The sequence below is a fragment of the Homo sapiens genome, chromosome 4, assembly GCF_000001405.40.
Source record: "Homo sapiens chromosome 4, GRCh38.p14 Primary Assembly".
NCBI classification, from domain to species: Eukaryota; Metazoa; Chordata; class Mammalia; order Primates; family Hominidae; genus Homo; species Homo sapiens.
The window spans coordinates 156,307,897-156,331,355 of NC_000004.12; the positions used below are offsets into that span (position 1 = coordinate 156,307,897).

At 35.1% G+C, this 23,459-nt stretch overlaps 1 long non-coding RNA gene across 2 annotated transcripts; it reads right to left on the reverse strand.

Annotated features, from left to right (window-relative positions):
- Positions 1-701: 701 nt before the first annotated feature.
- On the reverse strand, positions 702-22,705 carry LOC105377508 (uncharacterized). 2 transcript variants are annotated; one of them, XR_939398.3, is made up of 4 exons: positions 22,498-22,705; positions 19,884-20,032; positions 18,591-18,735; positions 702-1,037 (listed from the first exon to the last, which is right to left on the reverse strand). It is a non-coding gene; the product is annotated as an uncharacterized LOC105377508 (long non-coding RNA). The 2 variants fall into 2 exon arrangements; XR_939397.3 differs by having other exon boundaries at positions 19,884-20,049.
- Positions 22,706-23,459: the final 754 nt, after the last annotated feature.

The following is a 23,459-nucleotide window of genomic DNA, read 5'->3' on the forward strand; positions in this document are numbered from 1 at the left end:
AACTTCCACCTGTGAATTAGTTAGAAATACAAGTGCCTAGACTCTTCTCAGAGATTATGATTTAGTAGACAGGGGTAGGACCAAGTTATCTACACTTTTATTGAATAATTGGCCAATTCTGATGTAGTCTCCACATGTCATCCTTTGAAAATTATGGCTAAATATCCTATTTGTAATTTCTTTTCACAATAACATTATTGGATAACTAACAATATTATCATACATATGCATATAGAAGGAGAATACAATTCTTCGCACAATCTAAGGGAAAACCTTCAACTTGCATTTGATAATAGGAGATAAGTGTTAAACTGCATATCAAACTTTATATTTTTTGGCACATATTACAGTGATGCAAGGAGAAAATACAGGTTATACAGATTATGTATATGTAAATATACATATAAATATGTATGTTTATAATGACCTAGTCAAGCTCATCAGCTGTCATCAACTTGGGGAAAAGGAATCTCCAGTACACATAGCTCCCTCTAGATCCCCCATCATCTCTACATTAGAGTAGCTGTAGTGAATTCTTATAATCCCATGTTGCCTAAGCCTTTATTTTAAATTTAAATTGGACTTTCTCATACCAGAAACAGGAATTACCCTTGATATAGTCTACAACTCTCTAACTCCTCCCAGTTCTTCAGTGTGATGGATCCAGATATCTGCCTTTCACAACTGCTTTTTGATGACCACCTTCCTATAGGACAGCTAGAAACAGCCTATGTGACTCACTCCTCAGACCCTTGTACCCCACATGGACTGCGTAGATATGGCATAGTGACCTCCTGTCAGTCACAGTGTGATCTTCTGGAACTTGTACCTGCTTGCTTTAAACTCACTGTTTAGAGCTCTCTTCGGGAAACCTGCTTGGGTAATGCTTTGGAACCCAATGAAAGCTTTGACTCTTTGGTCTCTTGCTCTCTCTCTTCTTTTCTTGCTTCCCACCAGCTGGTTGAGCATGCGTGTCCCAGATAACTCTTCCTTTCCCACGGGCCCTGTGAGGCATGATGCCCTCTCCTCTCTGGGATCTAAAGGAATAAAGATTGCTTATGTTATTTCATGCCATTCATTTATATTTTGTTCTGCTGCCTCTTCTATGTGTCACCTGATCAACACACATGAACCTAGAGAGGCCAGGGCACTCCTAGAGAGTGGGTATCTTGGATTATGGCCACTATCAAGAGAAAGACCTCAAGACCAATTGGAGGAAAATATAACACCAGCACAAGCTGTTTCTTGGAAGTAAAACATTAGGCTGTTGGATTCTGCTGTTAGAGATCACTGTTGCTAATGTGTGGTCATATTTTTCCTGCCTTGTCTGGGCCCAGTGGGATTTGGCCTCACCTTGGAGTGACCTCACTATTGCTGAGCCTGAAGGCTGTGCAGTTCCTTACCTACTCAAGAGAGCCAAATATGAAGTAAAGTTGCCTCTCAAGTTATGTAATGTACTATATCCCTCCAGATCAGAATATATTTTATTAAATATTCTGTAATTATGATTCTGGGTCAATATGAAATATATGTAAAACCCATATGTCCCTTAAGTTTTATATTTGTTAAATAATGAGGTTAACAGATAATTTTCAGTAGGAGTAAAGAAACTTGCTTCTAAGTTATACATCATATTCTGTATGAATATGTTACATACCTGAGTATGATATCAGAATACATCATATTCTGACAACATAATGATAAATATTAATTTTAATTATCACAGATAACTTCTGTTACTTAGCTCTATTTTTGAAATATAGAATCAATACATCTGGTTGGAAGTTCTACTAATTACTAAGTTTGGTTGATAGTTTCTAAATTTTTAAAAGAAATGTTAGTTAGAAATAGTTTAGCTAAAATTGCTATATCTATAGTATACTGCGTAGCATTATGGTACACTGATAAGGTATTCTGAAGGAAAAGTTAATATCTCATTTAGAGAGGATATCTTTCACCTCTTGCTTCAGAAAAGTAAAAAAGACCAGATTTTCTTTTTACTTTCTTCTTGAGTTAAAAAGTGTCAGTTAAACCATAAAACAATATTTTAATTTTAAAAAACACCATCATGATTACTCCTTTAAATTTTATCTCATATGTATATGTGTGTTTTAAGTCATGACCAATATCTCACAGAAGGAAGCCCAATTAACTCAATTAAATGGAGTTTGTTTTATAAATACTTTTTATGCAGTATTATCATCCTGCTATATTTTAAATTCTGTGTTCTCTGAGGCACTAATAGGCTTCATATGAAGACTATTGATCTAATTGTTCAAAAATTGTATTTCCTTCAATTAATTTCTTATCCAAAGACTATAGAGCAGAGAACCAGAAACACCAAAGCCTCTGGGATAGAAGATCAGTACACTAATAGCGAATTATCTGGAAAAGAAATCAATTTAAAAAATCCCATTTGCAAAAGCTATGTAAAAATTAAATACTTAAAAATAAATTTAACCAAGGAGGTGAAAGATATTTACACTGAAAACTATAAGACACTGATTAAAGAAACTGAAGAATTTCTTGATAGATTGGAAGGATTCATATTGTTGAAGTATCCATATCATCCAAAACAATGTACAAATTCAATGTAATTCCCATCAAAATACCAATGACGTTCTTCACAGAAGTAGAAAAAAACATCCTAAAATGTGTATGGAATCACAAAAGACCTCGACTAGCCAAATGGCCATTACTTTTAATGGCAAAACAACAAGAACCAAAAAGTGACCAAAGTAAAAGAAGAAATAAGAAAATGTCAACCGCTGTTGGAAGTTCTGGTGTGCTTCTTTCAACAAGATACTGACGCAGATTCCCATTCAAAACAGAGAAGGATGATATGAACAACAAGCTAAACAGATGGTTTAGCATACACAGATGACATGATTCTTAGTAATGGTGGAATACACATTCTTCTAAGTGCATTTCCAACATTTACTCAAGTTGACCATTTGCAGAGTTATGGAACAAGTAAAATGAATCCAGAGTTGAATCATATAGAATATGTTCAGTGCCCTCAGTGGAATTAAGCTCCCCTTCCCCCACCTAGACTTCATTTCACACTTACTCCAGTGCATGATGCTCCAGAAATGCCAACCGGTTTTTTTTTTTTTTTTAACCTCTGTTGAACAATTCTGTTCTAGATTCAGGGATTATCTCCTTGTTTTGTAGGTTTCTGATCAAGTGGCACTTTATGAAAGAGGGCCTCCCTGAACATATTATCTTAATTTATAACTCTTTCCCTTACTCTCTTCAATATCACCCATTTTAGTTATACAGTACTTTTTTTTTAAACTATCTGTTGTTGTTTTATTTATTTACTTGTTTATTTTCTAGGAAATAATTGGCATGACTGCCAGGCTTGTCTCACTTGTTTACTGTCTAGTGCCTTAGCACGTAGGAGTTCAACAAGCAGCATTTGAATGAACAAACCAGTGGTTGCTGCTGATCCACTGTTCATTGTTAGATCCCACAGCTACTCCCAGGATAAGTATTTCAACCCCATACTTTCGTGATGATAAAAATACATTTGTGTGCATGGCCATTTCTTATTATTAGAACATTGAAACTATAGGTTATTGAAATTATGATCTGTATGATGCCCTTAATTCTCTACTTCATTTTGCTAATGCAATCACAGGTTTATTGTTCAGGGTACAGGACACATTTCTGAACCTCAAATTTCTTAGTCTGCACATTTCACATATTTTCCCTGATGCTGCCAACTATGAGCAAGCATGATTCTTTTCTACACATTTTAGTGAATTTCTCTTATTTTTATTTTTCTAAGATTTCTATTTCACATAAAAGCCAATTTATTTGTGAAATACACATTTCTCATTTTTAGAATGAAATGATTATTCTAGAAATTATCAGATTTCTATGTCGTTTTTAGATTGACGTAGAATCTAATGCTTGTAATATTTAAGCCAGTCTCTTTGCTTTGTAGGTTTTATAGTTTTATTTGTGAATCACCTTAATATTCTAGTATGTTTTGAAAAAGACTTTAATAAAATTCAGTGTCTAATTTTTTTTTCGGGGGGTGGTGGTAGAAATCAATAGAGGGGGTTTTGTTTGTGCTTGGGGAGTGTTAGGGAAATAAATACTTTACCTGGACATTTGGGTAGCTACGGCAAAGCAATGGAAGAAAAACAGAGTTTGGTTAAGATTCAGAAGAAAAACACTGGAGTGTATATATTGCCATCCTTCCCATAGGGTCCAAGGACTAGGTAGATTTTGTCACACTGGAGATGAGCTATTTCATCTTTTCTTGTACTCTAAATTTAATTGTTTTTATTTCAATATAATTAGAAAATCAGCTAAAATAGAAACTGATCAAGTTTATGCAGACAATCCAGACTATTTTAAAAGTATTTTCTCGCAAACTGAAGAAGAACCTCAGGTTTGTTATTTCTTTAGTAGCATTCAAGTACATTCTTGTTATGTCTGACAGGAGTTTCCTGGGCTCAGTGTTTTTTGAGGCTTCTGTGGTCTCATAATTGCATGTTGCTGTAATTCATAAGCAGCAGCGCTATTGACAGGAAAGGAGTAACACAGAGTTTTGGAGCACTAACATGTTTAGATATTCACTTGTGTGAACTCATTTTGTTGCCAAGTGTTGTTTTTAGTGCTTACCATCATTGTCATAATTACTTTGCACCAAATTTATGTCCTCTAAAACTTTGTTTTAATTGGATTTGGCTGAGTCATACTTTCATTTTATGGGTGTGGGTATTGAATCTCAGTGAGCAGCTTATCCAAAGTCATATAAAATGTTTGTGACATAGTCGTATGCAGTACTGTTAAACTTATATTTCTGAATAACCCATACATGTGATATGCACTTTCCTACCTATCAGTCTATAGCAAATGCTTCCAAACATGGTCTTCTGTTTTTGTTAGAACTGGGTTCTTATGTTAGCTCAGGAATTTAATAGCTACAGGAATTTTTGCAATCGTTTTAAACTTTCCAAGCCTTGGGTACTCATTTGTAAAATGCAGTACCTAACTAACAAGGTTGTATAAACATGTGAGTTTATATACCTAATGGGCACAGTTTATTTGCAATTATTACTTCTGTTTGAAATAAATTCATTTATATTTTACAACAATTCCTAATTTTTACCATGCATTGTTTGGGAACATTTTATAGATCCAGGATTAGACCAATTAATAAGCAACTTGCACTAAAATAAATGTCTCCAGAAATAAAGGCATATATAATTAGTCCTGTATCTTATCGAGGCACAATCTATTCCTCGTTATTTTTTAAATGAAATGATCCCCAAAAGCCAGTGAACAAAGGTGGCACTTCATAATTATTCTATTAAATAAGGCATTGAAGTATAATTAATGATTAATACAAACTGAGTAAGAGGAAAAATAAAGGCATATAATGTGGAGTGAAATTTGAACTAGATTTTTTAGAGCAATGCAGCGTTATGGGTAATACATTGGGTTAAGGGTATTTTTATTTCTTTTTCAAATTATAAATGTATTAACATCAATAAGTGTTTTAAATTAGAAATCATTATTTCTGCCAATCCTACATTTGCTACTAGACTCAACTTAGGATAATTTATAAAGCCTGATTTTTTTTCTATGTTAACACTACATCATAATAAAGCATTTGCATATTTATGGTTAACTAATTAAGAGTGAAAATTTGACCAAAAAAAAGTTAAAATTGAGTAATTACTGAATAGGGAATTACACAGAGACTTTCTAGCTTTCCTAGTTTTAGATCATTAGCCAAACTCTGAAGAGTATGCTATTGCTACAGTGTTTGAAAAAACAGTCTAGGATGCCAAGATCAACTGCCAAAAAAGGAAAGCAAATAATAATACCAAACGTCAAAAGCTACTTTTCACAGTTCTACTCCAAAACGGAGGATTATAAAAACATTATTTTTTATAGTCATAACAAAAAAACAAAGTGTTGTGTCAAGGTGAGAATAATTCTAAGTCTTTAAAAATTTCAGCACAAATGAGACCCTTGAATAAAATAGTGAAAGAAAATGGTAACATGTTTGAGGTGCCAGGATGGGAAGGATAACTGCTGATGAAAATCCCACATTTGAGTCATAATTCAACAAACACATTTATTATACTAGCTTTAAGGTGTTATTCTTGTGTGGTGTGGCTTTTAGATAGTATAACATTTAGCTTAGTCTGTCCTAAGTACATATCTCTGAGTTTGGAATATGAATAGAAGAATTGTTTTCAATAATCACTAACTTCCATTTTCTACTCAGAGTGGTGTAGCGAAAAGGTGTGGGTCTTAGTAATAGTTTCAAATATTTTTTTTTTAGCTTTTAAAACTGAAATAATTTACCCATTTTGAGAAACAGCCTTCTTTAAAAATCTATAATTTAAAATTAAAAATACTAGCCCTGATATTGTGTATGTTATGCGAATCAGGTTAGAAATACAGTATAAGTACCTTTTCACAGCTGATTTTTATAAGATGCAAAAGGCATTGCTTTTACTAATATTATACTACCATTTTGAGTAGAATTTGACCCTAGAAATAGGGTCCATATGTTGTGAATAGTTTGACCCCTGTTATTTTTCCAAGCAGCCTAACACATCTACTAATAGACTAATTAATATACTAGACCAGTGAAGGAATACTATCAGAAGGCCACAGTTTTCCAGAAGAAAAGCAGATTAAAGTGTTAGCCAGGTAACATTTTGGATTGTGAAGAGATTACTTATGAACTATCAAATCTCAATAAGGACTATGGAACAACCTGGTAATTTCATGGCAGGAAGCTTTGCTTAGAATTTTAGTTTTAGTTTTAAGTAGCAGTCTATCCATGTACTTTTCTTTAATACAACTTGAAGCTAATTAAGGACAATTTATTCAAATGAAGTATTTAAATATTCCTAACCATGGAAACTGGGTGTGTCTTTTCTTAACACAATCCTAATTCATATTTTGTTAACTGACATACATTAGCTTTGTGCATTTTCACCAATGTCTATGATGTTTCAAACTAAATTATAACTTATGTTATAAATATGAATAGTATTTGTTTGCTTATTAGTTTTACCAAAGACAAGTTAATAGGTATTTTTGAAGTTACTGGCAAGTAAATCATTTCTAATTCAGTAGTTTAATCTTGGTGAGTTAAGACTTATTACTATTATAGATCTATTATTTAATCTTTATATGATACATTTTTGAGTTCCAATTAAATGACAGGCCTTTGTGCTAGGTGTGAGGAATATGTAGACAAAGAAGATCTGCTCTGTGTCTCAAGGAGCTTGATCTCCTTGTAAAAGAGAAGGAAACCAGCATTGTGTCTTACGTTACATGTACAATGCATTCTGCTAAAAGAACTCAAAGAAGAAACCATTACCTCTGACTTAGAAGGCCAAGAAGACTTTTGAGAAGTAACTTCCGTGCTGTCATAGGATAGAAAGCATTTAGCCAGGAAGAACTATAAGACATGTTAACATAGTTGTAAGAAAACCATTTTGGTAAGTTTCTAATATAGCAATTTTTATGTACTCTGAAATTCAGATTCTAAATTTTTACCATTTTTTATCACCAAGAAATTTACAAAAGACAAATGCTTATCCCAATTCTGAGCCACACTTTACACTTTAACTTTACTCCATCTGTGACACCAAAGTCTAGGGTAGGAGAAATGGAAGAAGACTTGTACCAAGTTGGAGTGGAGAGTCAGAGGGAGGCTTAGGAATGGGCTGAGGGGAAAGTTGCATGTTAACACTATCTTACAAACTGCAGAAAACCCAGGGCCACATATTTACCACACTTACTCATTTCAGAAAGGGCCATCAGTCTCTCTAAGTAAAGTTTACACTCATTTTTGTAAGTTCAGGTATATCTTGAACTGATTCTCAAATTACCTGTTACTTTCTTTAAACAATGACCATAACTATTTACTTCCAATTAATGATTAGAGTTCACTATATAATACATCTCTTTGAATTTTCGTATGTTTTTCTAGAAGATATTACCTCAATTGTTGAAGGGCTCCTGCACCAGATAATCATATTAAGTAGGGGTATTTTTAGCATTGGATATCTGGCAGGTATTGATGATTTTAATATATGGAATGAAATTTTAAGATTATGGAGAACTATCACCAAGAATAGTTCTAAAAAATGCGAGTAAAGTAGATAAACTTTTTTTTTTTGGAAACTTCATACATTCTCTTCTTGTCTGTTTTATATTTCTTTTTAACACTTGGACAAAAGTGTTCCTAGACTTTCTCCTGACAGTACAAGTTCTACAATGGAGCAAGTTCTTCTGCTCTAAGCATGTTTTCTCTTCCCAATTACTTCTAGGCAATCCCTGCTAAAGATTTTATTCTACTCATCACATCCATCTGTGTACAGGTAGTAATTTAGTCCTACTTTATAATTTAGTCCTAGTTTATCTATAAGCTCTTGTCACTATTATAATATCTTCAAAAAGTATTGCATGCAAAACATAGTAATGCACTAGTATCGGATCCCAAGGGTGCTTCACAATGCACTAATTAATTTAGGGAGAAAGAAAGAGAATCATGATTCCTGTGGTTCAATATGTTTGCAGATTTGCTAAATAAAGTTAAACAATTATCTCCACAATAATATTTATAGCCTTAAAAACAAATACATGGATTGGATAGCCCCAAGACGGCTATACGATACAATGAAATTTCCAAAACATCTAAACAGTTTTAAGTGAGGAAATCATCTGATGTAGTGAGATAAGGAGTTCTAATTGCATGTTTTTGCAGTAAAAATACTTGGAACTAGATATATGTCTTATGCATTTTTAAAAACATTTTATCACATTCCTGGTTGCAAGATTGGGGTTCCATAGCATACTTCAAGATTCTAGCAAGTAAAAAAAAAGGAAATTAATGGCAGAGAAATTGTAATACTTTTGACAAACTCCTTATAGTATTTTTTAAAGAAATATATACATTTTAGGACTAGAGATGTCCCTATATGAAGCCAATTTTATTCTAGCTTGCATTATTTGAATATTACAGGTAAAGAATATTGGGGGGAAACACGACCAATATTTCAATGTAGGTTTTTTCTATTTTCCGTAAGTGTCAGTTGGCTGAGAAATAAAGAGAGACAGTACAAAGAGAGGAATTTTACAGCTGGGCTGCTCGGGGTGAAATCACATATCGGTAGGACCGTGATGCCCACCTGAGCCTCAAACCTCAAACCAGCAGGTTTTTATTAAGGGTTTCAAAAGGGGAGGGGGTGTAAGAACAGAGAGTAGGTACAAAGATCACATGTTTCAAAGGGCAAAAGCAGAACTACAGATAAGGGTCTATGTTTAGCAGTGCACGTATTGTCTTGATAAACATCTTAAACAACAGAAAACAGGGTTCGAGAGCAGAGAACCCAGTCTGACCACAAATTTACCAGGGTGGAGTTTTCCCCACCCTAGTAAGCCTGAGGGTACTGCAGGAGACCAGGGCGTATCTCAGTCCTTATCTCAACTGCACAAGACAGACATTCCCAGAGCGGCCGTTTATAGACCTGCCCCCAGGAATGCATTCCTTCCCCAGGGTATTAATATTAATATTCCTTGCTAGGAAAAGAATTGAGTGATATCTTCCCTACTTGCATGTCTGTTTATAGGCTCTCTGCAAGAAGATAAATATGGCTCTTTTTGCCCAACCCCACAGGTAGTCATACCTTATGGCTGTCTTCCCTTGTTCCCTAAAAATCGCTGTTATTCTGTTGTTTTTCAAGGTGCACTGATTTCCTATTGTTCAAACAAAACACACATGTTTTACGATCAATTTGTACAGTTAACACAGTTATCACAGTGGTCCTGAGGTGACGTACATCCTCAGTTTACAAAGATAACAGGATTAAGAGATAAGTAAAGACAGGCATAAGAAATTATAAAAGTATTATTTGGGAACTGATAAATGTCCATGAAATCTTCTCAATTTATGTTCCTCTGCTGCGGCTCCAGCTGGTGCCTCCATTTGGGGTCCCTAACTTCCCGCAACAATAGAAAGATTACATTGTATAATCTGTATTGTATGAAGTTCAATAAATAGAAAAACAGGCAAAAGCAAAGCCTTAAAAGGGATGGTATTAAATAGTTGGAAAACAGGGAGCAAATAAATTTCTTCTCCTGATAGTTTGACTTATAGTGTAATTCAAAGCAAAAGTCACATGGGGGCAAATAGCCAATGGAGGCCTGTTGCTGGGAATAAAGTGACCATGGCATGTAACTTTTAATGCATCTCAAGATGCCATATGGGTGGGTAAGGAAGGCACTGGAACCAGAATCAGAATGCCATCATGCCCAGAAGAGTTATTTAAATACAGTTGACATCCATAGTAAGAAATAAAATAAGATTTTTATTCACTTTATGATCTTTTGATAAATGTTGAATATTTCATTAAAACTTAACATGCAGTTTGGGAAATAATAATAGGTAGTTAGTAAATGAGAATTTCTTTCCCCTTCTGTGCTCTTGCAAAGTTAGTTTTTAAATTAATATCCTATGAATTTTTGATTCCTGGTCATTCCTGTGACCCATGATTTTATAATATTAAATCATCAACCATAACTTTAAAAAAACAGAAAAGAGAATTACACATCCAAATTCTTCTTATGAAGTTTCAAAATCTAAACCTTATTCAGTGCACTAAGGATTTTTCTATTACTGATTTTAATGATTAGCCACAGGATGTAGAAGATGCAAGATGCAATGTAGTGGAAGGTCTTTCCACAAAACACTTCCTAGGAGATTTGAATGGCATGAAACTAGATTTAAGGTGCTGCCTTGTTCCCTGAGATAAAATTCAGCATTGCCATTTCCTGGTCTTTGGCCAACAGTGGCAGAGTTAGGTGATAGAAACCATATATTGGGTGGGGGAATAGGAAAGGAGAGGAGGCTTGTATGCTATCTTTCATTTGGAGCTTTGAGAGGAGGAGTGCTCCATGACCACGTGGAGTGATGCTATTAGATAGAAACAGTGACATTGTGTGAGTGGGAAAAGAACAAGCCTGGATTAATGCTCCCCATTCCCATTTACTGTTCATGGTATGTGGGAAATTCAGTCATTTCTGGAGCTCCAGTGATGAACACAGAAGTGCTGAGAGAGCTGGTGACTAGAATGAGCCTGAGGTCTGGAGGAAAGAGATGCAGAGTGTGGGGAGGCTGTGACTTGTGGCCATTGCCAGAACCATAGGTATTTGTATAGATGTAATGCATGCCCAAAGGCCATGAGGAGTTAGGTACAAGGCCAACTAAGACGTGCAGGATAGTATTCAGATAAGCAAGTATCTTTTTCTTAATAATGGCATGTATGTTTTCATCTATGCCCAGATACTGCAGAGGGGAACAAAAGAAAAAGGAAGGGTATGAAAACCTGAAATTGACTGGGATTTGAATCTGCCCTCTACTAAGTAGAAATGCCATCAAATAAGTCATGGACAATTGAGTTCCATAATAGGAAATTAAAGAGAGATCTGTTTCTATTCATTGGAATCACAAAAATAATTATAAAAAACATTTATGCCAATTAGACATTGTTTCTAATCATTTTTAAATGTATGAACTCATTTAATTCTTTTTGAGATAGATACAATGTTTTCACCAATTTAAAAATGTTGCAGACTTTGGCCAAGTATAGTGGCTCATGCCTGTAATCCCAACACTTTGGGAGGCCGAGGAGGGTGGATTGCTTGAAGCCAAGAGTTCAATACCAGCCTGTGCAACATAGCAAAATGCAATCTCTTAAAAAATAAATACATAGACAAAATGTTGCAAATTTAGGGAGCATACATTTAACTGCCATGTATACTGCACTTTACAATGACAATATTTCCCATTGAATTATTTATATTTTTACACATTTTTTCCTCTTCCTATTTTCCATTTCCACTCTTCATAACATGTATACCATGTTGAGAAGGGGTAGTAATATAAAATAACTATAAAAAATATAAATTAGTGGCCGGGTGCAGTGGCTCACACCTGTAATCCCAGCACTTTGGGAGGCCGAGGTGGGTGGATCACAAGGTCAGGAGTTCAAGACCAGCCTGGCCAATATGGTGAAACCCTCTCTCTACTAAGAATACAAAAATTAGCTGGCCATGGTGGTGCTTGCCTATAATCCCAACTACTTGGGAGACTGAGGCAGGAGAATCTCCTGAGCCGGGACCCAGAAGGCGGAGGTTGCAGTGAGCTGAGATCACGCCACCGCACTCCAGCCTGGGCTATAGAGCCAGACTCGGTCTCAAAAAAAAAAAGTAAAAATAAAAATAAAAATAAAAATTGTTATATTTCTTGCTTGTTTCCTTTTTAAGTAGGCCATGTGGAACCTTTCGCCTTTTGTGCTCCTTCCCTTGACAATTTGCTTCCTCATACACCATAACTTTCCTTGCTTGTTGCTTTGTGTTATCAGGCAATTTGAGTTAATAAAAGGTTTCTAATCTCTATGTTTCATGTCCAAATAGTTCATTTGTGCCAATAGACTTTCACAGGATACTCAGAAGAATTAATTTTCAGTGTTTTGGATAGTGAATAGAAGTGGGATAAATGATTCATGAACTCAAGAACCAGAGTAACAGAGCATCTAAAAATGAAATGGATTAACTAAAGGACATATGCTAAACCATATACTGTATATGCCATATACTGACCATGTTAAATAAATTCATTTTCTCTATAGATTAGAATTCAAAGCAAGTATGAAAGTAACTTACCCAAATTATAATATATAGGAATTATAGCACAGTAGGGGAATAGACCTTGAAGTTTGACAGATCTAGATTTAAGTCCCCATTCTACTAGCTCACTAGCTGTATAACTTGAGACAAATTCCTTGACTTCTGAAGCCACAGTTTTCTCATTGTTAGAATGAGGGTTGTAATGTCTATATGCCATAGTGTTTAGGAAGAAGTTTAGGTCAATTATGAAAGTAAATTACTTAGCCCAGTGCAAAAAAGAAAAAACAAACCCCAGAATACTCTATCATCATCATCATCATTACCTAATCATGCTGTTCTTTTACATTAAAAAAAATTATTGAGTGCTCAATTTGAGCTAATCATTGTGTTAGGCAGTTGTAACACATTAATGAGCAAAACAGATAAATGACCCTGCTTTTGTGCTGTTTACATTTTATCAGGATATAGACAGATATCACTCAATAAATTGAATATGTAAGTAAATTTATGGAATTTTTATAAGGCATTACATATCTTGCAAACCAGCAAAAAATTGTGCAAGGTAAACTAAATTTTGACTATTGATTTAAGGGAACTGGGATAAAGTGATTGTCATCACTGAAAGGGTAATATTTAAGCAAATGTTTGAAGGATATGAGAGAGTTATCTAAGCAAAGTAATACGTGAAGTATGAGGAATTATAGTACAAGGAAACCAGTGTGGCTGGAATGAAATGAGTGGGAGAGAGGTCAGGAAACTGATAGTTGAGAAAGTTCTTGTTGGTGCCTGTAGGCTACTGTAAGTGCTTTGGTTTTACTGTGGTGAGATGAGGGGCCACTGGAGGGTTTGAGCCAAGGACTGATGATGTATCATCATCTTCCTACAATGCAGTGAATCAGTACTGAAAACACTGTCAGCATATAAAACACTGACCTCCCATAGTTCCCACATAGTTAGAAGAGACCTGAGTTTTTAAATTGGCAAATATCATTCTAATGGGGTTCCACGATTTCCCTGAATTTTACAGTGAAAGAAATTTAGAAAGAAGTATTTCAGAATTAATATAGCTATTTACAGGACAAAAAAATATGGATTTCATGGAGGAATGGCAAGGAATAATTTAGTGTTATAATAGATTTAAAATATTTGCATGTCACTTAATCTATGGTCATGAATCTATTTCCAAGTGCTTATTTATAGCCATAAATATTTTAGTTCATTATCAAACTGACACTTCGCTGAGATTCTTCGGACATGTGGCTGAATTCATGTATTTTATCATTTTAATATGATATTTAATATTAATTCATGTACTTTATCATTTTAACACAACTGGATTAAAGATAGTGATTTAAAATATGGAATATAAAACTAAGTTCCATTGTTTGTTTACTTCTCCCCTTTTTTCTTCGCTATTAAGAAATTGATTTGATTTGGGAACATATTGTCATGTTCAGCCTTGACTTATATTCAGGAAAAAAGATCCTTAGCCTGAACAACTCAAATATTTTCTTGTCTGCCTTGCATGGACCCTGGCACTTAGACAATAGCAAAATTCGATTGTGTAAAGTATAAATTTGGGAAAAACATCAAACTCTAGAGACTCTCCTAGAAGTATAGTGCAGAAGCCACTTTCACATGTTTCTTATATTAGTTTTTCCATATACTTCAAAGTATTAATCATAACCCAATGACTACTCAAAAACTACATGTAATCAAAATTTATAGTACACTCTACAGTTTAAAATACCAATATCACTGGTTTTCTACTTCACAGAAAAAAATCACTCAACTTCTTCTAGCATTTAATCTTCTAGACTCATAACACTCCTGGGAGTTTTAGAGACTACCTGGCCCTACCCTTCATTTAAAATAGAGACATTTAGTCAGAGAATCTAAAGGGCATGCTCTTCATTTCACAGCTAGTAAACAGAGTTTGTACTGAAGCTTTTGGACACATCACTGCATTAGGAGAAAAACTTCTTACCAGAGTGAAAGAAAACACTTCTCATTTTAGGTAGAAGTGGTCCTCTACAGTCACTGAAATGCATGAAGCAGATTTTCCTTATAAAACTGAGGTGATAGGATTTTGAAGATGTGCATCTGAAGGATTAGAGAGGAGAAAGTAAAAATCCAAATGATTCATAAGGAGTAAAGAGTGAATCTTGGAAGTGGTTAAATCTGGTAACCAAACTGGAAATTCCTTGATGACTCAGGGCCTACTATTCATCTGTGCTTGGAAAATTGGTAGAGAATTGAAGGTTTGCCTCAGACAGGAAATGGAACTTAGTGGGTAGTTAAGTAGTAGGAGACAGCTTTGCAAGATGAAGAATTAAAAAGTCTTCATGTCAGGAAGCTGACATAAAGCCTTTAGTCTCCAAGAAAAAGATCATCCACTCTGGAAACCTTATTTCCATAGGTGGGATGAAGTTGAGATGCTAGCCCAGAAAATAGGTGAAGGAATTAGGTGTTAACAAAGAGGGGAAACCTCTCATGCAGGACTAAGATGAAGGTATATTTTGGAGCAATTCCTATCGGATCTTAAATTAATTGTTGAAATTAGACAAATTATCTTATAATAAAATCAAATGTAGTGATTTTCAAGTGGAGCACATCTTACATCAAGGATATGTGTGCTATATTTGGTAGTCAAAATTATGAAGTGCTGCGCCATAGGGTTTTAGTAGAAAAAAGCCAGGGTTCCTAAATACTTTGCAATATGGAGAAAACAAACAATTATCCCATCCAAAATGCAATCAATGTCTCATTGAAAAACAATGATGCAACTCAAAGGAGGTCTTTGTGGGGAAAATTGTATCTCTAGTGCCCAGTCCAGAGGCAAACAAGTTACTCAAATTATCTTGAATGAAACCAAAAAGAACCTATACTCTATAACTGAATTCATTTCTATATGTTTATATATTTGTTTTTCATTAATATTTGGTTAAGTGTTAATAAAAACTGGAATACTTCCTTTAAATTAGTCAAATGTTTTCTAATCTGAAATACGAGTACAAGGTTCTTGTTCATTTCAGACAAGGGTAGTGTCAAGTCAAAACCAGCAGTTCTGTAAAGTAGGAGTAGTAGACATGGCAATATCATGAAGTGATGAGGGGTATTGTGACTGCTGATATCCTAGCACTTTCCTCCGATTAAATCCAAAGGTACAGAGAATTCAGTACCAATGTGTCTTGTTCTGAGTATCTCATGGTGGTGTTTAATGTATAAGGAGAGCTGGAAGAGTTGTGTGGAGACTAGTTAAAAAAACAATCTGAATCCAAACGAGTGCTCAGATATGTTTATCTCTATTCTGAAAACTAACTTGATCTGAAGCAGATAGCTTCAATCAGTCAAAGAGCTCCTTTGTGTGGTTCTATTTGCCCAAAGTGTTGCTTTAGAAGTCAGGATGAAATAAGGAGGTCACTAGCTGTCCCATCACCTTTGGAAACTTACAGCATGATCTTATGACTCATAACAAGCCTTTTTGTTTTTGTTTTTGTTTTTGTTTTTTGAGAAGGAGTCACTCTGTTGCCCAGGATGGAATGCAGTGGTGTGATCTTGGCTCACCGCAACTTCCACCTCCCAGGTTCAAGCAATTCTCCTGCCTCAGCCTCCGAGCAGCTGGGATTACAGGTGCCCACCACCACTTTTTTCTTTTTCAGTCAGTAAATTATCCCATCATGCTGCCAGCCCAAGATAATATATGAAGAAAAAAAGGTGGAAACAACAGACATGTTTATATATTCAGAAAAGAAAAGGAGATTATGCTTTGCTTTCATAATTAAAACTGAATGTCACATTTGCATGTAATATGTTTTTAATTTTATGGTTTTTATTCTTGTTCCACCAATTTATTGATAAAAAGTATCAACCTCACAGAAAGTATTTAGATGCATTTTCGTATCTATAACCTCATTGTACATGTCATTTTCTTATGGGTCTTCTGGAAAATTTTCAAAAATGCTTGTGCTACCAAAAATGAAATGCTATGTTAAAGCAGGGAGTAAAATCCCTTACTGTAATGTGTGCACTTACACTATTTAACTTTTGTTGACCTTATCAAAGACTTTGGAATAAATTCAAAGTAGATGTTGCTTACAGTTTATATGAATAACTAATGATATAGCTATAAAGTAGTTTGTCAAAAATTATAGGTATTACGTCTTTAAAGATATGATGACCGCTGAGGAGTGACTTGCTTATGCAAAATAAATGAATTCACTCCTTCAAGGCAAGGGCATTTAATTTACTATAAATATCTTCTCAGGTGCTCAAAAAGAATAAACTTCTCATCATTGAGAAATGTTCCCCAAACTTTTTTATAAATATTATCTTCATCTGAGATGTGGGATAAGACAAGTTCTCAACTCCTTCCTCTACAGCCTATGATATATATATATATACACACACACATATATATATCATATATATATGTGAGATATATATATGAGATATATATATCTCCCTATATATCTATATATATCACCTGATATGTGGGATAAGACAAGTTCTCAACTCCTTCCTCTACAGCCTATGAGATATATATATATATCTCATATATACATGTGAGATATATATATGAGATATATATATCTCATGTGAGATATATATATGAGATATATATATCTCATATATATCTATATATCTCTACATATATATCTATATACTGATATATATAGATATCTATATACTGATATATAGATATCTATATACTGATATATATAGATATCTATATATTGATATATATAGATATCAATATATAGATATCTATATATTGATATATATAGATATCTATATATTGATATATATAGATATCTATATATTGATATATATAGATATCTATATATTGATATATATAGATATCTATATATTGATATGTATATAGATATCTATATATTGATATGTATATAGATATCTATATATATAGAGAGAGATAGGTACTTAGGTAGGTAGATAGATATAGGTATATAATATTTATGTTCAGGTAATTCTTCTGACATGGTTACCTGGTTTATTATGAAAAACTGTGGTACGTAGAGAAGAGTTTTAGGGCTTACTCTATACCAGTTATTTTTAACAGAGAAAATCTAATGTATAGAATTATAACTTAAGTATGGAATAACTAAAAAAAAAAAGGAAGTACTAAGGTATATCAGGCATCCCCATGACTACATCTAGGTTCACTGAAGCGCCTCACAGTATATGGCATATAGTCATACTCAGGCTATAATTTACTGCAGAAAAAGGATATGAAGCAAAATCAGCAAAAGGAGAAAAGGTGCATGTATGAAATCAGAAGGAAACCAGTCTTAAGCTTCCAAGCATCTTCTCCCAGTGGAGTCACAAAGAATGTGTTAAATTTTCCCAGCGATGAATTACGACAATCCACATGAAGTGTTTTCTACCAGAGATTCTCATTAGAGACACAGTGCCCAATGTCTTACTGAGGACTGATCATGTAGGCACTCTCTGCCTGTCATTTGCCAAAATTCCAGACTTCAAAGGAGAGCAGGTGCTTGGTATAAACCACAGTTTGCACCAAGTATAAACTGGTATATACTTGGTATAAACTGGTATGCACTTGATATAAACTTGGTATGCACTTGGTATAAACTGTGTTTGCACAGTTTAGGCACAGCCAGCTATTCTTATCAGGGAAAGGTGAGAATCTTCCCAAAATCTTAGTTTCCAGACACCAGCTGGGGCCCAAACTTGCAACAGGACTTTCTGAGGATAGCGGACTCAGGCCTGCTATATTAAATCTTTTCTGTACATAAGGCATCATGGAGGCAGAAATGGCAGGAAACCGTTACAGGAAACACCCCATGCAGTTGAGGAAACAATGAGAAGTTGAGATCACTAAAATTTGGAAATCTTGGAGGAGTGGCCTCCTGGAGTGAAACTCAGACCTCAGAGTAGGGCACGGTGTTCAGCTGGCCATGATGTCTCTGAGTCAGAGAAAGAGACTGGAAGCCGGGATTCAAACCTCCACTGCAGGATGGGTAAGCAGACAGCTGATGCTGGCATCTCTAAGGGATGTTGGATGAACTGGTCCTGCAAATGATGGGAAAAATTCAGTCTAGACAACCTTCTGATTCTAAAACAAACTGCCACTGCCAAAGGAAGAAAGAGTGTGACTGGGGCAATGCTAAGAGGAACAGGGAATCAAGTTAACATGCAAGAAGGAACAAGTCCTTTTTCCAGTTCTTTAGTCTATCTCTAGCATTCTCTTTCGGTAGAGCCTAATGGAGCATTGGGCAAAGAGGATGTGGTTTTCAGAATTTCAGCCCCAGCTGCACTAGTCTAGAAAGGTGGATGTGGAGCTGAGACATTAGCTTAGTAGCTAGAACGGGATTTTGATTTTTCTCAGACCACCCCATGAAAACTTAGAAGGCTTATGAAGGGAATTCATACATTATAAAATTGCAACCAGAACATTTGGGATGATGCTGTGGGTGTATTTGCCATAGCAACACGCACTACTACAATAAAATATAAAAAGTAAGTGACCTGTGAAAAGTAACATGTGTGTACCAAATGAGATAATTGTATCCATCACGTGGCTCCTAAACCATTCCCATGGACAGCTAATTAAAAATAAGCAAGAATCAGAATTATGTCATCTCATCCTGGATGGTGGTGGTCTCCTCCGTATTCTTTTCTATGTTGGGAGGTAGGTATCATAACCATGCAGTGGCCATAGCCAAGTTTAGTAAAATTTTCAGCCTTTAATATCTTACCTGATATTGCTATGTTTTTGAATATTACAGCCTGACCTTTTTTTTTGTAGCAATATGAAGTCCCTTCTACTGTCTTCTACCTTGCTGTCATCCAACTCATGTGACCCCTATTAACTTTAACTTGATTACTGCCACTTCCTATGTGCATGGAAATGCAGTCTTGGTTGCATTCATTCAGTCCAGGTAGCAGTGTGCAAAAAGATATGAAAATAATAACTCCTAATGGTTGCACAACATTTTGAATGTATTTGATACTACTGAATTGTGTGGTTAAAAATAGTTAAGATGGTTGCTGGGGTCTGCTAAAGTCTTTCAAAATTCATGTGCTGAAACTTAATCCCCATTGTGGTGGTATTAAGAGGTGAGCCTTTGGAGAAGTGATTATGTCATGAGGGCTTTGCCCCCATAAATGGATTAGCATCTTATAAAAGGACTGGAGGGAGCTAGCTTAGTTCCTCTTACCCTTCCATTTCTTCTGCCATGTGAGAAAACAGCATCTGTGCCCTCCTGAGAATACAGTACCACGGCACCATCTTGGAAGCAGAACAAGCAACTCTCACCAGACACCAGACCTGCTTGTGTCTTGATTTTGGACGTCCCAGACTTCAAAACTGTGCAAAATAAATTTCTATCATGTGTAAACAAAAAAAAAAAAGAAAATAATAACTACCATATATTAATCACTTAGCCTGGGGCAGAAATTTTCAATAGTATTTATACATTATCACGTATAAATCCTGCAGGACAAGTGTTATTTTTCTATTTTATAGAAATGAACACTAAACTGAGGTTCATGGATCTGTAACACCTATATACTTTTTTTGGGGGGTGGGTGGGGATAGAATCTCACTCTGTTGCCCAACCTGAAGTGCAGTGGTGCGTTGTCGCCTCACTGCAATCTCTGCCTCCTGGGTTCAAGCGATTCTCTTGCCTCAGCCCCCCAAGTAGCTGGGATTACAGGTGTGCACCACCACGCCCAGCTAACTTTTGTATTTTTAGTAGAGATGGGGTTTCACCATGTTGGCCAGGCTGGCCTCAAACTCCTGACTTCAGGTGATCCTCCCGCCTCGGCCTCCCAAAGTGCTGGGATTACAGGCGTCAGCCACCATGCCTGGCCTGTATATTCTTTATAACAGGCCACACTGCACCTAGATATCTCTTACTGAAGATCTCATTTTCTTTCTTAAACCTCATACTCAGTCTATCATCACAAATAGAGCCTTGGTTTAGCAGAAAAAGTCTTGGAGTAAGAGCCATAATAGCTAATCTCTGCCCTTTTATCTGTAACTTAATTGGGCTACCATTTTCCTCTCTTAAAGCATTAACATAGATACCTGCTAAGGAAAGCAATGACTTAGAGTGGAAATATTATGAGCCTTGCAATCAGATATACAAAGTTTTAAGTTCAAGTTCCATCTTTATTACCTGAGTAAGCTTAGAAAACTTAGCCAATTTTCTCAACTGCAAAGCAGAAATAATATCTAAGTCACAAGATTACTGTAAGAATTAAAATAGTCTATGTAAAATGCTGACTATACTTCATTTGTTTTGTGAAATTGATTTAACAAATTTCCTGTAAGGTTTTAACTGTATGCTGAAAGCTTCCCATCACTTGTAAATTGCTTTTGACTATTTGGTAAGGAAATAGTTAGATCCCTTTATTTCATGTCTAAATTCTATGAAACATTTTTATAGGTGTTTATTTCTCGTTTCCTTTCTGTTTCATGCGTCCAAGGTCCTGGCCACTAAAAACAAAACAAAACAAACCACATCCATCATATGTACTGTGTTCTTGCCTAGTTTTACTAGCCATTTCACCTCTCTCATTTTCACAGGAGGAGTGGAGATGTTTTATTTTATTTTTAGAGCCAACACTCTAGGTCAAATCTAAAAACAATTTTATATAATTGAACTCTCGCTCACCAAAATTATCCTTTTATTTTAAATCAGCATTTTTCTATTATTACATGCATTAGGGACAGCACGACTTTACTACTATACTTCAGAAGGCAATGAAAATGCATGCTGTGCAAAAAGGACAGCAATGCGAAGCCTTAGTAAAGTGTGAATTATTTCCTAGTTGAAAATCCAGAAGTGCTTCCCATTACGGAAGTAAAAAAACACTTTCAGTGAGGTATATTTAATTGGGCTAAGTCATTTTCCTGGACCAAGTAATTATTACTTATTATTTACATGTATTTATTCTCATCTATGGTCTTTGTTATATTTATCATGAATTTCTTCTTCAACTGAAATTCTGTTTTCACAAGATTAAGTCTCACAGCCTTTTAGAAAGATTTGTTCACCACATAATCAATAGTAATTTTACAAGCAAAGGAAAAATTTGAGTATACAGTTAAGACTTTATAGGGAATGAATTGAATCAGTTCACAAATTAAATAAAAGCTGGCTTTCTCCTGGATTTCATAAAGCTGTTGCATATATACCAATAATAAACAAAAAAATGAAGAATTAAAAGTCTTATAATGTAGATTTATCATTTTCTGTTAGAGATAAAATTAGCAGGCACAAAATCAGTGTTCTATATCAGCATGATAGGATGCTAACAAAATAAAGTCCAAATCTCAATGACTAAACAAACAAAAGCTTGCATCAAATCATATGTGGATAGACCAACTCGGAAGAGGAAGTCTCCTATCTGGATGATTCAGAGACACAAAGTTCCTCATTTTATGACAGTGCTCTCCCAAAACACAGTTCTAGTATGACTACAGCTGGGAAAAAGAGAATATTGAGAGTACAGTACTCACATTTTCAATGTTTAGGTCCATAAATGATGCTCATTGCTTTTGCTCAAATTTCACAGCCTATATCTAGTAACATAACATAGTCTTGTCTAATTGAGAAAGGACATGGTTAGTTAAATCTTTCTCTGTTGCCAGAAGTAATGAACAAACAGATAACAATGAGCATTAGAAACCGCTGCAGTACTCAAAATGTGCTTTTAATTATATTTATTCAGTAAAAGCACACTGAGTGTTTATATGTACCAGGTAGGTATTGAGGATGCTGTGGCGATCAAAATAGACATTTTAAAAATCCTCAAAAAACTTACTGTTCAGAAGTAGATCTACACACGCCAGACTTCCAACAAACAATGTCTCTCAGTCAGTCCATTGGCCTGGTTCATGATCCAAGCAAAATGGCTTTGTGCTTGATCTGGGTGCAAAAATACTCCAATTTTACCTTGAACTACAAAGTTTCTGGACTTTGTACATTCAAATGTAATTTCCGGCCTAAGCAAAGTAACAGAATTGCAGGTGTTTAGCAGCTGGGTGCCCAAGTGTGCACTGTTTCAGCTTGACTTTTTATTATACAAGTGCATGCACAATATTTGCTACTTCTGTACAAGCGGGCAGGGTTCACCAGGTGTTATATTAAATTATTGATTCCTAGTCTAGGTATGCAGCACTGGGTTTACTTTCCTAAAGTCCGCACGTCATTAAGCCTCACAAGAGGAAAGTATGTTGAAATCAAATTTAGAGGCATATGGCTTGCCACAGGCTTCAGTATTACCCTCTCTGCCTGGTCCCATTGCGACACTGGATTGGTTAGTTACAGAGAAGAAAGTAATGTTCGTGAAATCCAGGTTTCATACCTAAGTTTTATTGTTGTTTATTTGTTTATTTTAGGCAAGAAACGATGACACCATGTTCTATACCACAAGCCCAAGAGAGTCTGGAAGCTATTTTTTTTTTTTAAAGAGAATCTTCTCTATACAAAAACATGGAGCTGAATGGGGAAATGGAGATTAAAAGTATTTAATAGATTTAAGTGGGTCTAAATATGCTACAAGGGAAATCAAGACAAACTAACTAAAACTCAGGGAAAATTCAAATAATGATCATTGAAAACAAACAATGATAGCATGATAAATAGCCATAGATTTGAAAGGGTGTGTGGGTGGGAGGGAGAGATTAAAAATGTTGATGTATAGGTACAAACCTATAGGTAGATAGAGGAAATAAATAATAGTGATCAATAGCAGACTACAGTGACTATAGGTAGCAATAATAA